The following is a 13,045-nucleotide window of genomic DNA, read 5'->3' on the forward strand; positions in this document are numbered from 1 at the left end:
CACATCAAATGCTTACTAACAGAAAGATGCATCAGGAACCACCCCAACCCAGGACACCCACTTGCCCTGAATCAGGCCCAGGAGGTCAAGTTCACAGACCAGCCATAAGTGAGCTCCCAGCAGGCAGGTGTGAACTCTGAGTGTGCTCCTCACTCTGAATTTCCAGTGTGTGTTCCCTTGCTGACTTCCCTTTGCTTGACCCCTGGTTTCCAATGTGCAAAATGGCATTTAGAGATCTCTTTCTTGAGGCTTGGCAATTTTATCAACTTTACTGGAACAGGGCAGTAACACAAAACTGCCTCCGGAAAACAGGCAGCAAACATCTGGCAGATAATGCTTGAAACGCCTGTGTTTTCTCACTTCTTGACCCTATGTTCCACCCACCTCCTAGTACCTCCCACTGCTACCCCATCTCCCTACCCATCCTGCCCCCATCTTACTGCAGGCAAGAACTCTCAGAGGCTGTCAACAACCTCAGACTCATTTTCTCGCCTTCCTTCCAGCACTGAATCACATCATTAGTTTTTAATAATTCTTCTTGCAGCCCCTCTGGCTCGCTTCAGCTTTTCCACATCTAGTCTACCAACCCGCTCCTGCTGTTTATCTGGGTTTCAGATAATTAAGTATCTTTGGCCTCCACATGGGGCAGGGGTGTGGTTATCTTCCTTTTACACCCGCTTGCTGGATTTTCATAAAAAGGGATAGCATGCCCTGCCACTCAGCTTGCTCTGGGCAAAAGCAGGTTTTAATCAGCCAGAGACAGAACTGCAGCAGGCAGGGAAGGTAGGCGTGCGAAGGACATATTTCAAGAGCACAGCCTTTGAGTTCCAATATTTCCAGAGCCTGGGCTTGAAATCCAGTAACTTCGTTTTATTAAGAGGTACCAAGTGTGGTAAAGAGGACAGGCCCTGGGAACCTGGCAGAGATTCAAAATGGGGTAATAGTGCATGCATTGTGTTGAAAACCACACACACACACACACACACACGGAAAGTGTGTGCATTGTAGATAGCAGTTCTTTTAAAACATTTTCTATGCTGGCTAGTTTTCTAGTGTTTTATTGTTTTGATTCATATAATCCTCACTATCACCATCCAGGCAGAAAATATCACATAGCCTTTATTTTATAGATGAGGAAACTGAGGCACTGAGAGGTCAAGTCTCTTGCCCATGGTTGTACAGTTTCCATGAAATAGCATTCTAAGTCCAGATGAAATGGGAAAAGTTCCCTTGTCCCCCTCGCAGGGTGTGTGATGTCGGAGTGGCTCGCTTCTTCAGTGCCCCGCTGCTCAAACCTCTAGGGGACCATAGAGATGGGCCAGTTGTCGGGATCTGATCCCACGGCAGTGTCTAGGGGTGGATGTTTACAACTCCTGAAGCTTCAGTGTGTGTGTGTTACATGGTGCTCTTTTAGTTTTGCTATCTATAGGCGGCTTGTGTTAACTAGCTCAATTAGACCCTCTACGTTGTCCCAAGGACAGAGGGCTTTCTGTATCCTGGGTTCTTGCCTTGGTGCACCAGAAGAATCGGATCACACCTGGACTTGGAGAATGAGAGCAAGGTTTTATTGAGTGGAGGTAGCTCTCAGCAGATGGGGGAAGCCAGAAGGGGATGGAGTGGGAAGGTTTCCCCCTGGAGTCAGGCCGCCCAGCAGCCTGGGCACTCCTCCGACTGCCCAGGCCAAACTCCACTTTGTTCCGCCAGTAGATGGCCTGCCAGCATCTGTCATGTGCTCTTCTGCCAGCGTGTTCCTCTTGACGTCTTCTTGACATCCAGACGCTTGTGTCTTCTTTGCCGATCTGCAGCTCTTGACGTCCAGCAGCTTGTGTGTCACCTGCTAGGGTCTTGGGGTTTTTATAGATACAGGATGGGGGCATGGCAGGCCAGGGTGGTCTTGGGAAATGCAACATTTGGGCAGGAAAACAAAAATGCCTGTCCTCACCTAGGACTGTGGGCACAGGCGTGGGGGTGGAGCCCTTACCAGGGACCACACCCTCCTCTACCCAGCACTTCCCTTCCTTCCTTCTGTAGCATTTAAAGCGACCATGCCCTTCCCTTCCTATCACCTCTCTTGCATATCACAGAGTCCATGGTCTCAGTCATCAAGCTGTGGGGTCTCTCAACTAGCTTTGAATTCTACTTCTTACCAACTGTGTGGCCTGGAGCAAATACTTTGTCCTGTTTCAGCCTCGGCTTCCCCATCAGTACAAGGGGGACAGTGATATCTCCCTGCAGCATCATAGCAAGGGATGAAAACAGACACAGGTATGAAATTGGGTGGCCCTTCCTAGGTAGTAAGCAATTCAAAATTCCCTTCTTTCCTTTCATTGTTAACATTGTGCTTCGTGGGAGAGTAGGGCATCAGGGCTGCTTATGGTTGTCTCCAGAGAATTCCCAGAAAATATTCCTCTCCCCAAGAGAAGATGGGATTCACTGTGGTTTCCTTGAGACCCTCTTGGGAGGTGCCAACTCTCTTGAGAGTGGCTCTCAACCATTAAGTGCAACTCTACCCTGGGGCCTTGATTTTATTATGATGATTATTTAAGATTTTTTTATAAACCTGCATTTTTTCCCCTTTAATGAGCTGATAATTCTGAAGTCTGTTAGGAAGAGCTTCAAGCCAAGGGCAAAATGAAGCATGTGCGTTTATGTAACTTGACACATTTCAGCCACATTCAGGAGCTCTGCGTCACTTTAGTTGCACACAGGGTTTTAAATAGCATCTTCCAGGAACAGGTCACCATTGCCGGGGCCACTGTACATATCGGATGGGAAGAGATGCCCTTAATTGCAGAAGATCTAAGAAGCAGTTTGTCTTGGACAAAATATACAAGAAGTTGGGGTGTAGGGGAGGGAAAGGAAGGAAGAAGAAACGGAGAGACTAAAGGGAGGAGAGAGGAGGGAGAATTTCTAAGCTAGACTTCTGAATGGAAGGACCCTCCTCCTGAATTTCTAAATGTACTGGGAGGTGGGGAGGAAGGTGGGAATCTGTGTTGATTGAATGGAGAAATACATGTTAGTCTGGGCGCAGTGGCTCATACCTGTAATCCCAGCACTTTGGGAGGCTGAGGCAGGTGGATCACCTGAAATCAGGAGTTCCAGACCAGCCTGGCCAACATGGCAAAACCCCATCTCTACTAAAAATACAAAAAAATTAGCTAGGCATGGTGGTGTGCACCTGAAATCCCAGCTACTCGAGAGGCTTGAGGCACAAGAGTTGCTTTAACCTGGGAGGCAGAGGTTTCCATGAGCCAAGATTGTGCCACTGCATTCCAGCCTGGGTGACAGAATGAGACTCTGTGTCAAAGAAAATAAATAAATCAAATAAATGTTCTGTACTTGACAAGCTCTTGCTGCTACGAGTTGCCTTTCATGGTCAGAACAAGTTTCGAGAAGGAAAATACTCTCTAGAAGTTCCGTCTTCCTAGAACTGTATTACATTCTGCTCAGAGGACCACCTCTGAACCACCTAGACTCCATTGGGTTGGGAGGGAGATTACCATGTAAGACCCTGGTGATTATCAATTTTATGCATCAACTTGAGTGGGCCACAGGGTTCCCAGATGTTTGGCCAAAGATTCTTCGATGTATGTGTCTGCAAGAGCATTGGTGGATGAAATTAACATTTGAATTGGTAAACTGAGTAAAGCAGACTGCCCTCCCTAATGTAGAGGTGGGTGGGCCCCGTCCAATCAGTTGAAGGCCTGACTACAACAGAAAGGGTGAGTAGGAGGGAACTCCTGCTGCCTGATTGCTTGGGCTGGGACATGGGTCTTTTCCGGCCTTTGAACGCAAACTGAAACATCAGCTCTTCTTGGGTCTTGAGCCTGCCAGCCTTTGGACTGGAACTTAACACCGTCAGCTCTCCTGGGTCTCCAGCTGCCACCTATAGATCTTGGGACTTCTTGGCCTCCAAAATCCCATGAGCCAATTCCTTATCATAAATCTTTTTCCAGGCCAGGTGCAGTGGTTCACGCCTGTAATTCCAGCACTTTGGGAGGCCAAGGTGGGCAGATCATTTGAGGTCAGGAGTTTTGAGACCAGCCTGGCCAATGTGGTGAATCCCTGCCTCTACTAAAAATACAAAAATTAGCCGGCTGTGGTGGCGTGTGCTTTCAGTCCCAGCTACTCGGAAAGTCGAGGCAGGAGAATCGCTTGAACTTGGGAGGTGGAGGTTGCAGTGAGCCAAGATTATGCCAGTGCACTCCAGCCTGGGCAACAGAGTGAGATCCCATCTCAGAAAAAAAAAAAAGAAAAAAGAAAAGAATAAAGAAAAAACAAATAAAATAAATCTCTTCAGTAGTATTGGTTCTGTTTCTCTGGAGAACCCTGACTGATAGAGCCCTTTTTATTCTCAGAAATTTTCATTTGGATAGTTTATCAGGTTAGCAAAGACCTAGCAAGTTGGATAAAATGAAAATATAGGGAAATTGGCCTTATCTCTTTGGAAAACAGTTCATTGTTACCTAGTAAAGATGAACAGGTGATTATAACCTGCAGTTTTGCTCCTGGGTCTACCCCTGGTTAGCCAGTAGCTTCATGTGGCTATTTCAGTTTAAATTAATTAAAATTAAATAGCATGTAAAATTCAGTCTCTCGGTAGCCTGAGCCATATTTCAAGCACTCATTAGTAAATAATGGCTAGTGGCTACCCTATTGGAAAGCATACATTTGTATAGGACATTTCTATTGTTGTAGAACATTCTATTCACCAGCACTGCCCTAGAGAAACTACACATGAGCATCAGGAGGCATGTTCCAGAATGTTCATAACTGCCTCGTTTGTGGTCTAGCTGTACCACAGAATACTATACAGCAGTGAAAAATGAATGAGCAACAGGTATGAACATGAAAGCATCTCAAAAACAAGATGTTGAGCAACAGGTTTATATAAAGTGTATAAAAGTAAAAAATATAGGCCGGGCGTGGTGGCTCACGCCTCTAATCCCAGCACTTTGGGAGGCTGAGGTGGGTGGATCACAAGTTCAGGAGATTGAGACCATCCTGGCTAACACGGCGAAACCCCGTTTCTACTAAAAATACAAAAATTAGCTGGGTGTGGTGGTGTATGCCTGTAGTCCCAGCTAGTCGGGAGGCTGAGGCAGGAGAATCGCTTGAACCCAGGAGGTGGAGGTTGCAGTGAGCTGAGATCCCGCCACTGCACTCCAGCCTGGGCAACAGAGCGAGACTGCATCTCAAAAAAAAAAAAAAAAAAAAACTAAAAAATATAATTGTTCCGGGCTTCATATATGGGTGGTAAATGATAAAAATAAAAAGCATTACCACAAGTTTGTGATAGTGCCTACCTCTGAGGGAATGAGAAAAATATGAGGGAATGGGGCACACGGGGCCGTCTAAAAGTCACACACAGATTTTTACTTAAGTAGGATGTTGGGAAAATAACTGCTTTATTATTCCATAAAAATAATATAATAATAATTCTATGAAGTATGAAATAATAGTAAATAATAATAAAATATAATAAATCATATTTTATTATATTTTATTATTATTATAGTATATTTTATATAAATTTTACTATAAAAATAAAACATTTTATGCACACTTATATGTAGTTTGCACACACACTTCTATTTTTTAAATTGTGGCAAAATATATATAATATTTACTATCTGAAACCATTTCTAAGAGTACAGTTCTATGTCATTAAGAACATTCATACTGTGTGTAACCATCACCATCCCTCCCCAGAATTTTTTTCATCTTCCCAAACTGAAACTCTGTACCATTCAACACTCACTCCCCATTTTCCCTTTCCCCTGGCTCCTGGTAACCAGCATTCTGCTTTCTGTCTCTGATTTTGATGACTCTACATACTTCATAAAACAGGAATCAGGCCAGGCGCTGTGGCTCACGCCTGTAATCCCAGCACTTTGGGAGGCCAAGGTGGGTGGATCGCCTGAGCTCAGGAGTTCGAGACCACCCTGGGCAACATGGTGAAACTCTGTCTCTACTAAAATACCAAAAATTAGCCAGGCGTGGTGGCGCACACCTGTAGTCCCAGCTACTCAGGAGGCTGAGGGATGAAAATCACTTGATACCTGGAGGCAGAGGTTGCAGTGAGCTGAGGTTGTGCCACTGCACTCTAGCTCAGGCTACAGAGTGAGAATCCGTCTCAAAAAATAAAATAAAAAAAAAAGAAGTGGAATCACACGGTATTTTTCTTTTTGGACACACATTTCTAAGGGGAAAATGCTGAGAAAGACAGGCAGGGGAAGGTACAGTATCTGATATCTCCACTTAAATGTCTCAAAGATACCTGTAACTCAATCTGTCCAAGTCAAACTCATGATCCCCCCATCTAGTCCCAATACCCACCAGCCCTAGCTCAGCAAATGGTCAAGCATCACCATCTATCCATGGAAATCTCAAATTCCAAAATTAGACATCATTCTTGACCCCTCCCAACCCTCCACCTCATATATTCAGTTCATCATCAACTGGTGTTTGTTTTACCTCCTAAAATAATGCTCAGCTGTCCATCTTTCTCCATCTCCATGGCCACCACCCAGGTTCACATGCCCATCTCTGTCCTGCAGCCAGAGGGATTTTCTCACCATGTGAATCTGATTATAACTCTCAGATTTAAACACTGTCTTAGTCCGTTCCTGTTGCTGTAACAAAATTCCTTAGACTGGGTAATTTATAAATAGAAATTTAATTCTCACAGTTCTGGAGTCTGGCTGGGAAGTCCAAGATGAAGATGCCAGCAGATTCCATACTTAGAAGGGCTCATTCTCTGCTTCCAAGATGGCGCCTTGCTTCTGTGATCTCCAGAGAGGAAGGGCACCGTCTTCTCACAAGCAGAATGGACAGAAGGGCAAAAAGGACTGAACTTGCTCTCTCGAGCACTTTTGTTAGTGCACTGATCCCACCTCCTAATGGCCCTCACCCCTTAATACTATTGCATTGGAAATTAAGTTTCAACATGAATTTTGAAGAGTCATAAACATTTACACCATAGCAAACACCTTCCAGAATTTGTTAGCATGATAAAGCCCATGAGATCTTGCTGGATCTGCTCACACCTCTTCTCCAACTTCTTTTCTTCATCCATTCCTCACCCCCAGCTCCCTCCCTTACACACACACACCACTCCCTTGGGCCTCCTTTTAGTCTCCACCTCCCCACCCCCCGATACACACACCAGGTCCCCTCCTGCCGTGGGGGCCTTTTTGTTTGTGATGTTCCCTCTGCCTGGATCCCTCTCCTCCCACCCCCCTCTCCTTCCCTGGTGCTATGATCTGAATGTTTGTATCACCCCTAAATACATATGTCGACATCTAATTCCCAATGTAATAATATCAAGAGGTGGGGCTTTCAGGAGGTGATTAGGTCATGAGGGCAGATCCTCATGGATGGGATTCGTGCCCATGTAAAAGAGGCCCAGGGTAGCTTGTTTCTCCCTTTCACTGTGTGAGGACACAGTGAGAACTCACTATCTATGAGGAAGAGGTCCTCACCAGACACTGAATCTGCTGACACCTTGATCTTGGACTTTCCAGCCTCTTTTACCATGAAAAATAAGTGTTTGTTTGTTTGTTTGTTTGTTTGTTTGACGGAGTCTAGCTCTGTCGCCCAGGCTGGAGTGCAGTGGTGCGATCTTGGCTCACTGCAAGCTCTGCCTCCCAGGTTCACGCCATTCTCCTGCCTCAGCCTCCCGAGTAGCTGGGACTACAGGCGCCCACCACCACGCCCGGCTAACTTTTTTGTATTTATTGGTAGAGACAGGGTTTCACCGTGTTAGCCAGGATGGTCTTGATCTCCTGACCTCGTGATCCGCCTGCCTCGGCCTCCCAACGTGCTGGGATTACAGGCGTGAGCCACCGCGCCCGGCGGTGTTTGTTGTTTATAAGCCACCTAGGCTAAGAAAGGGAGAATGGCAGCCCAAATGGACTAAGGCACCTGATAAACTCTGTCCCCTCGAGGACTGAGATCTAGGGCATTTCTGGAGGGACACCTTCCCAGCACTTCCCCAGTCCCTGTCCCATTACCATCCCTGCAATCCTTTCCTTAGAAGCCTTTTGTAAATTTGTGTTCATTGGTGTGAGTGTATGTTCAATATCTGACTCTCCTCCTAGATGCTGACCTCCATGAGGACAGAGGCTGAGCTATTTTCACTCCCAAAAATGTTGACGGTACCCAGCACACAGCCAAACTCAGCGTAGGCACTCTGAGTGAAGATTGATTGAATGAATTAATGAGGGCTCATCTTCCTGCTTCTCCCACGGTCACATAATCTCAAGGGTTCCCTTCCATGTGGCAGGTCTGGGTGGTGAGAACTGCCTGGCTCTCTGATGGTTAGGGTGAACAGTGGGTCCATTCATAGGAAGGAACAGAGTGATAATGCAGCTAAGTGCGTTATTTTCCTGTGGCTACTGTAACAAACAGCTGCAAATGTGTTAAAACAACACACATTTCTTTTATCTTACAGTTCTGGAGGCTGGAAGTCTGAAATCGATTTCACTGAGCTGAAATCAGGTGTTGGCAGAGCCGTGCTTTCTGGAGGCTCTAGAGGAGAAGCCTCTTCCTCATTCATTCCAGCTTCTAGAACCGTACTCTTTGCATTTCTTGGCTTGTGTTTCCCTCCTCCATCTCCGAAGCCAGCAGCATGGCATAGTCCAGTCCCTCTCGATTGAGGTCATCCTGTCGCCTTTGCTCTTCTGTGTCAAATCCCTCTGTTTTTCTCTTAAATGTATGCCTAGCATTCCATTATTGGAACACTAAGCATGTGGGAGTTATTTATATGCTACTTCTCAAGGCTATCACCAGGTCTGATTTCTCAAATTCAAAAAATTGCAACCTCAGGCATAAATGGGTAGGGGCACTTGTGATGACATTGAGGGCCCACCTGGATAACCCAGGATGATCTCCCCATCTCAGGACCCCTTAATTTAATCACATCTGCAAATTTCCTTTTTAAAAATATATATTTTTCAGAGACGAAGTCTTGCTCTGTTGTCCAGGCTGGAGTGCAGTGACACGGTCATAGCTCATTGCTTCCTTTAATTCCTGGGCTCAAACAATCTTACTGCCTCAGCCTCCCAAGAAGCTGGGACCACAGGCACGTGCCACCACACATAGCTAATTTTTGAATTTTGTAGAGATGGTGACATAGTTCGGCTGTGTCCCCACCCAAATCTTATCCTGAATTGTAATCCCATAATCCCCATATGTCATGAGAGGGACCCGGTGGAAGGTAATTCAATCATGTGGGTGGTTGCGCCATGCTGTTATCATGATAGTGAGTTCTCATGAGATCTGATGGTTTTATAAGCATCTGGCATTTCCCCTGCTGGCATTCATTCTCTCTCCTGCCGCCTGGTGAAGAGGAACCTTCTGCCATGATTGTAAGTTTCCTGAGGCCTTCCAAGCTATGTGGAACTGTGAGTCAATTAAACCTCTTTTCTTCTTTCTTTTTTTTTTTTTTTTTTTTTGAGACGGAGTCTCGCACTGTCACTGGGCTGGATTGCAGTGGCTCAATCTTGGCTCACTACAACCACCACCTCCCGGGTTCAAGCAATTATTCGCCTCAGCCTCCCAAGTAACTGGGATTACAGGCACCCGCTGCCATGCCCAGCTAATTTTTTTTTGTATTTTTAGTAGAGACGGGGTTTCACTGTGTTGGCCAGGCTGGTCTCAAACTCCTGACCTCGTGATCCGCCCACCTCAGCCTCCCAAAGTGTTGGGATTACAGGTGTGAGCCATCACGCCCAGCCTTAAACCTCTTTTCTTTACAAGTTACTCCTTCTCGGGTATTTCTTCATAGCAGCATGAGAATGGACTAATACAGTTGGGATCTCATCACCTTGCCCAGGCTGGTCTTGAACTCCTAGGTTCAAGTGATCCTCCCGCCTAGGCCTCCTAAAGTCCTAGGATTAGAAGCATGAGCCACCATGCCTGGCCCAAAATCCCTTTTGCCGTGTAAGGTAACAGATTCATAGGTTCATTAGGACATGGATATCTTCAGGGACCATTCTTCAGTCTACCATATTGAGTGACCACAGCAATTCATATAAGGGCCAAGCCCAGAGCAGGAGCCACAGTGTGGCAGCAACAATGACAGAGACGGCCCTGGTGAGGCTGGGGAAAGGGGAAGATGACACACTACATGGGGCACCCTCATAGCTTCATCCTGTGCCGGGTTCTCATCATTTTTTTGAAATCTCCCAAAAAAGAAGCTTCTTAGAAAGACAGGGCAATAGATACCAGTAAATTGCATGTACCGTGGCCTGGCGATTAAGGGTTTTTCCATTCCCTTTGCTTATTTCTGGAAAGCTGCTGATGTGAGTGGCAGCAGAGATTGAGAAGGGCTTGTCCCTATCACGTGATGGTCTGAATTGAATAGGATAATGCTTGGCTGAGCCTCCTTCCCACATTTTCCTTCAAATAAAATACCAACCCTTTCTTGACAGTTCTAGGACAGGATGCCCAAAGAGAAATGGGAGGGAATAAAACTGCAAGTGACTTAGCAGAGCTGCCTTGGTGTTTTGGGTCTACACAACCAGATTCCCGAGCACCCCCTTAAGGCAATATCCTGACTTACATATTTCATGTTATGTAATTGGCTGCTATTCATTGAGCCATCAGTTACTTAGATCTTGTTGTCTCCTGGAATTCCAGTCTACTGTGTCTGTCCTCAGTCCCCTAAACTCCTCGGGGATCTCAAGTTATATTAGATCAATCCAAGACATTCCTGGTTGGGTTCTGCCAAACGTGGTAGGATCCCTGTTTTGTTTTTTTGTTTTTTTTGTTTTTTTTTGAGACAAAGTCTCACTCTGTCACCTGGGCTGGAATGCAGTGGCTTGATCTTGGCTCACTGCAACCTCTGCCTCCTGGGTTCAAGCGATTCTCCTGCCTCAGCCTCCCTAGTAGCTGGGATTACAGGCACCCGCCACTGCTCCCAGCTAATTTGTATTTTTAGTAGAGACCGGGTTTCACCATATTGGCCGGGCTGGTCTTGAACTCCTGACCTCGTGATTCGCCTGCCTCGGCCTCCCAAAGTGCTGGGATTACAGGCTTGAGCCACTATGCCCGGCCTTTTTTTTTTCTTTTTCTTTTTTTTTTTTTTTTTTTGAGACGGAGTCTCGCTCTGTCGCCCAGGCTGGAGTGCAGTGGCACGATCTCGGCTCACTGCAAGCTCTGCCTCCCAGGTTCACGCCATTCGCCTGCCTCAGCCTCCCAAGTAGCTGGGACTATAGGCACCTGCCACCATGCCCGGCTAATTTTTTGTATTTTCAGTAGAGACAGGGTTTCACTGTGTTAGCCAGGATGGTCTCAATCTCCTGACCTCGTGATCTGCCCGCCTCGGCCTCCCAAAGTGTTGGGATTACAGGCGTGAGCCACCGCGCCTGGCCAGATCCCTGTTTTTTCATTACTAGATATCCTGGTCTTGGATGGGGTTGCTTTCTGATAAATAGACCTCGTGCCTGGTAAGTGTGTTTACTTGCTCCGGATTAAATTACACCTAGATTTACATTCTACCTCTGCCATTTATAGGCTGTGCAATCTTGCACAAATATCTTACCTTCTCTGAGCCTCGGTGGCCTCATCTGTTAAATAGCCATGCATCCAGTATCTCGCAGGGTGGTCATGAGGAGTAAAAGAGATCAAGCATATTAAGTGCTCAGTCCAGTGCCTGCTACCACGTAAGTGCTCATTAAATGTTACTTTCCTTTACCACCAGGAAGAAATTGAGTTTGGAAATGGATAGATACAGGCATAAGTGTAGACACTGGTTTCTTTGTTTGGAAGAGGAGACACAAGAGAAGGGGGAGATTAGAGGGTGGAATGATGATCTTTTCCATGTCAAGGTTGTTGAAACGACGAGAGAAGTCTCAAGGGGCACCTAAGATTTGTCTCAAAATATCTGAAGGATATTACGTGGAAGAGGAAGTTCGTTTCTTTCTTTTTTTTTTTTTTTCCTGAGATAGAGTCTATTGTGTTGCCCAGGCTGGAGTGCAGTGGTTCAATCTTGGTTCACTGCAACCTCTGCCTCCCAGGTTCAAACAATCCTCCTGCGTCAGCCTTCTGAGTAGCTGGGACCAAGTAGCAGCCTCAGGTGTAGGGGGGCTTGAGCCTCTCCTCACTCCTCTCTGATTGGTCCAAATTTGCTCAGTCTGGGCCAATCAGAGTCTTTCTCCTGGGATGCAGAGAGATTAGCCCAGGTGGATGATGAGGGAGTGGCAAACCGAAGTCTATGCATAAGCAGAGAAAGCCAGTCTTTGAAGGGAAAGAGGACAGAGCGTCTGCCTCAAGAATAACAAGAGAGACAGTGTCCTTTGAAAGCAGAGAAGGAACTCAGCCATGACATTCCCATTGCAGTCCAGATGAACTGGGTAGTCCATAAGATGTTGCACCTTGTTCAACCCTGCGCATCCTTTCTCCAGACCCTTGGAGAAATACCTCCCACCCCGTGTTGCCACCGCCTAGGGAAATCCAAAATCCAGCTGTACAATGTCTGTACATTTCCAGGGGCTTCCATCCTCAAGTCTTCTCTGCTCCTAGGCTTGGTTCCTTGAGTCCTGTACCTCCATCCAACTGAATATGAAACTCAGATGCTTCACTGGTTTCCATAACAACAGAATAAAACAATGCCCTATCCTACTCCCACAGGTCATTTGAGGAGCAATACAATGAGGATCACAAAAAGGGTGTCATTGATCTCTTCACAGCAGACAGCTTAAAAACCATGACCAGTGACAATCGTCTCCTGGCTCACCATGTAACTGTCCCTCCAGCCCCAGAGGACTAGCCCCAGCCACAGCCCTGCAAAGACCTTGATTTTTTTTTTAATTGCAAAAAAAAAAAAAAAAAAAAAAAAAAAAAGAAAAGGCCAGGCGCGGTGGCTCACGTCTGTAATCCTAGCACTTTGGGAGGCCAAGGCGAAACCCTGTCTCTACTAAGAAATACAGAAATTAGCTGGGTGTGGAGGTACATGCCTGTAATCCCAGCTATTAGGGAGGCTGAGGCTGGAGAATCCCTTGAACCCGGGAGGAAGACGTTGCAGTGAGCCGAGATTGTG

The 13,045-nt window shown here is 46.3% G+C and overlaps 2 protein-coding genes across 3 annotated transcripts in view; both read left to right on the forward strand.

The window, feature by feature from the left end:
- MPV17L-BMERB1 (MPV17L-BMERB1 readthrough) overlaps nucleotides 1–13,045 on the forward strand; it is a 192,506-nt gene that overhangs the window by 125,713 nt on the left and 53,748 nt on the right. The window lies entirely within an intron of this gene.
- BMERB1 (bMERB domain containing 1) overlaps nucleotides 1–13,045 on the forward strand; it is a 153,672-nt gene that overhangs the window by 86,879 nt on the left and 53,748 nt on the right. The gene's annotated exons all lie outside the window — the stretch shown is intronic.

The sequence above is a fragment of the Homo sapiens genome, chromosome 16 (genome assembly GCF_000001405.40).
Source record: "Homo sapiens chromosome 16, GRCh38.p14 Primary Assembly".
Classification (NCBI taxonomy): Eukaryota; Metazoa; Chordata; class Mammalia; order Primates; family Hominidae; genus Homo; species Homo sapiens.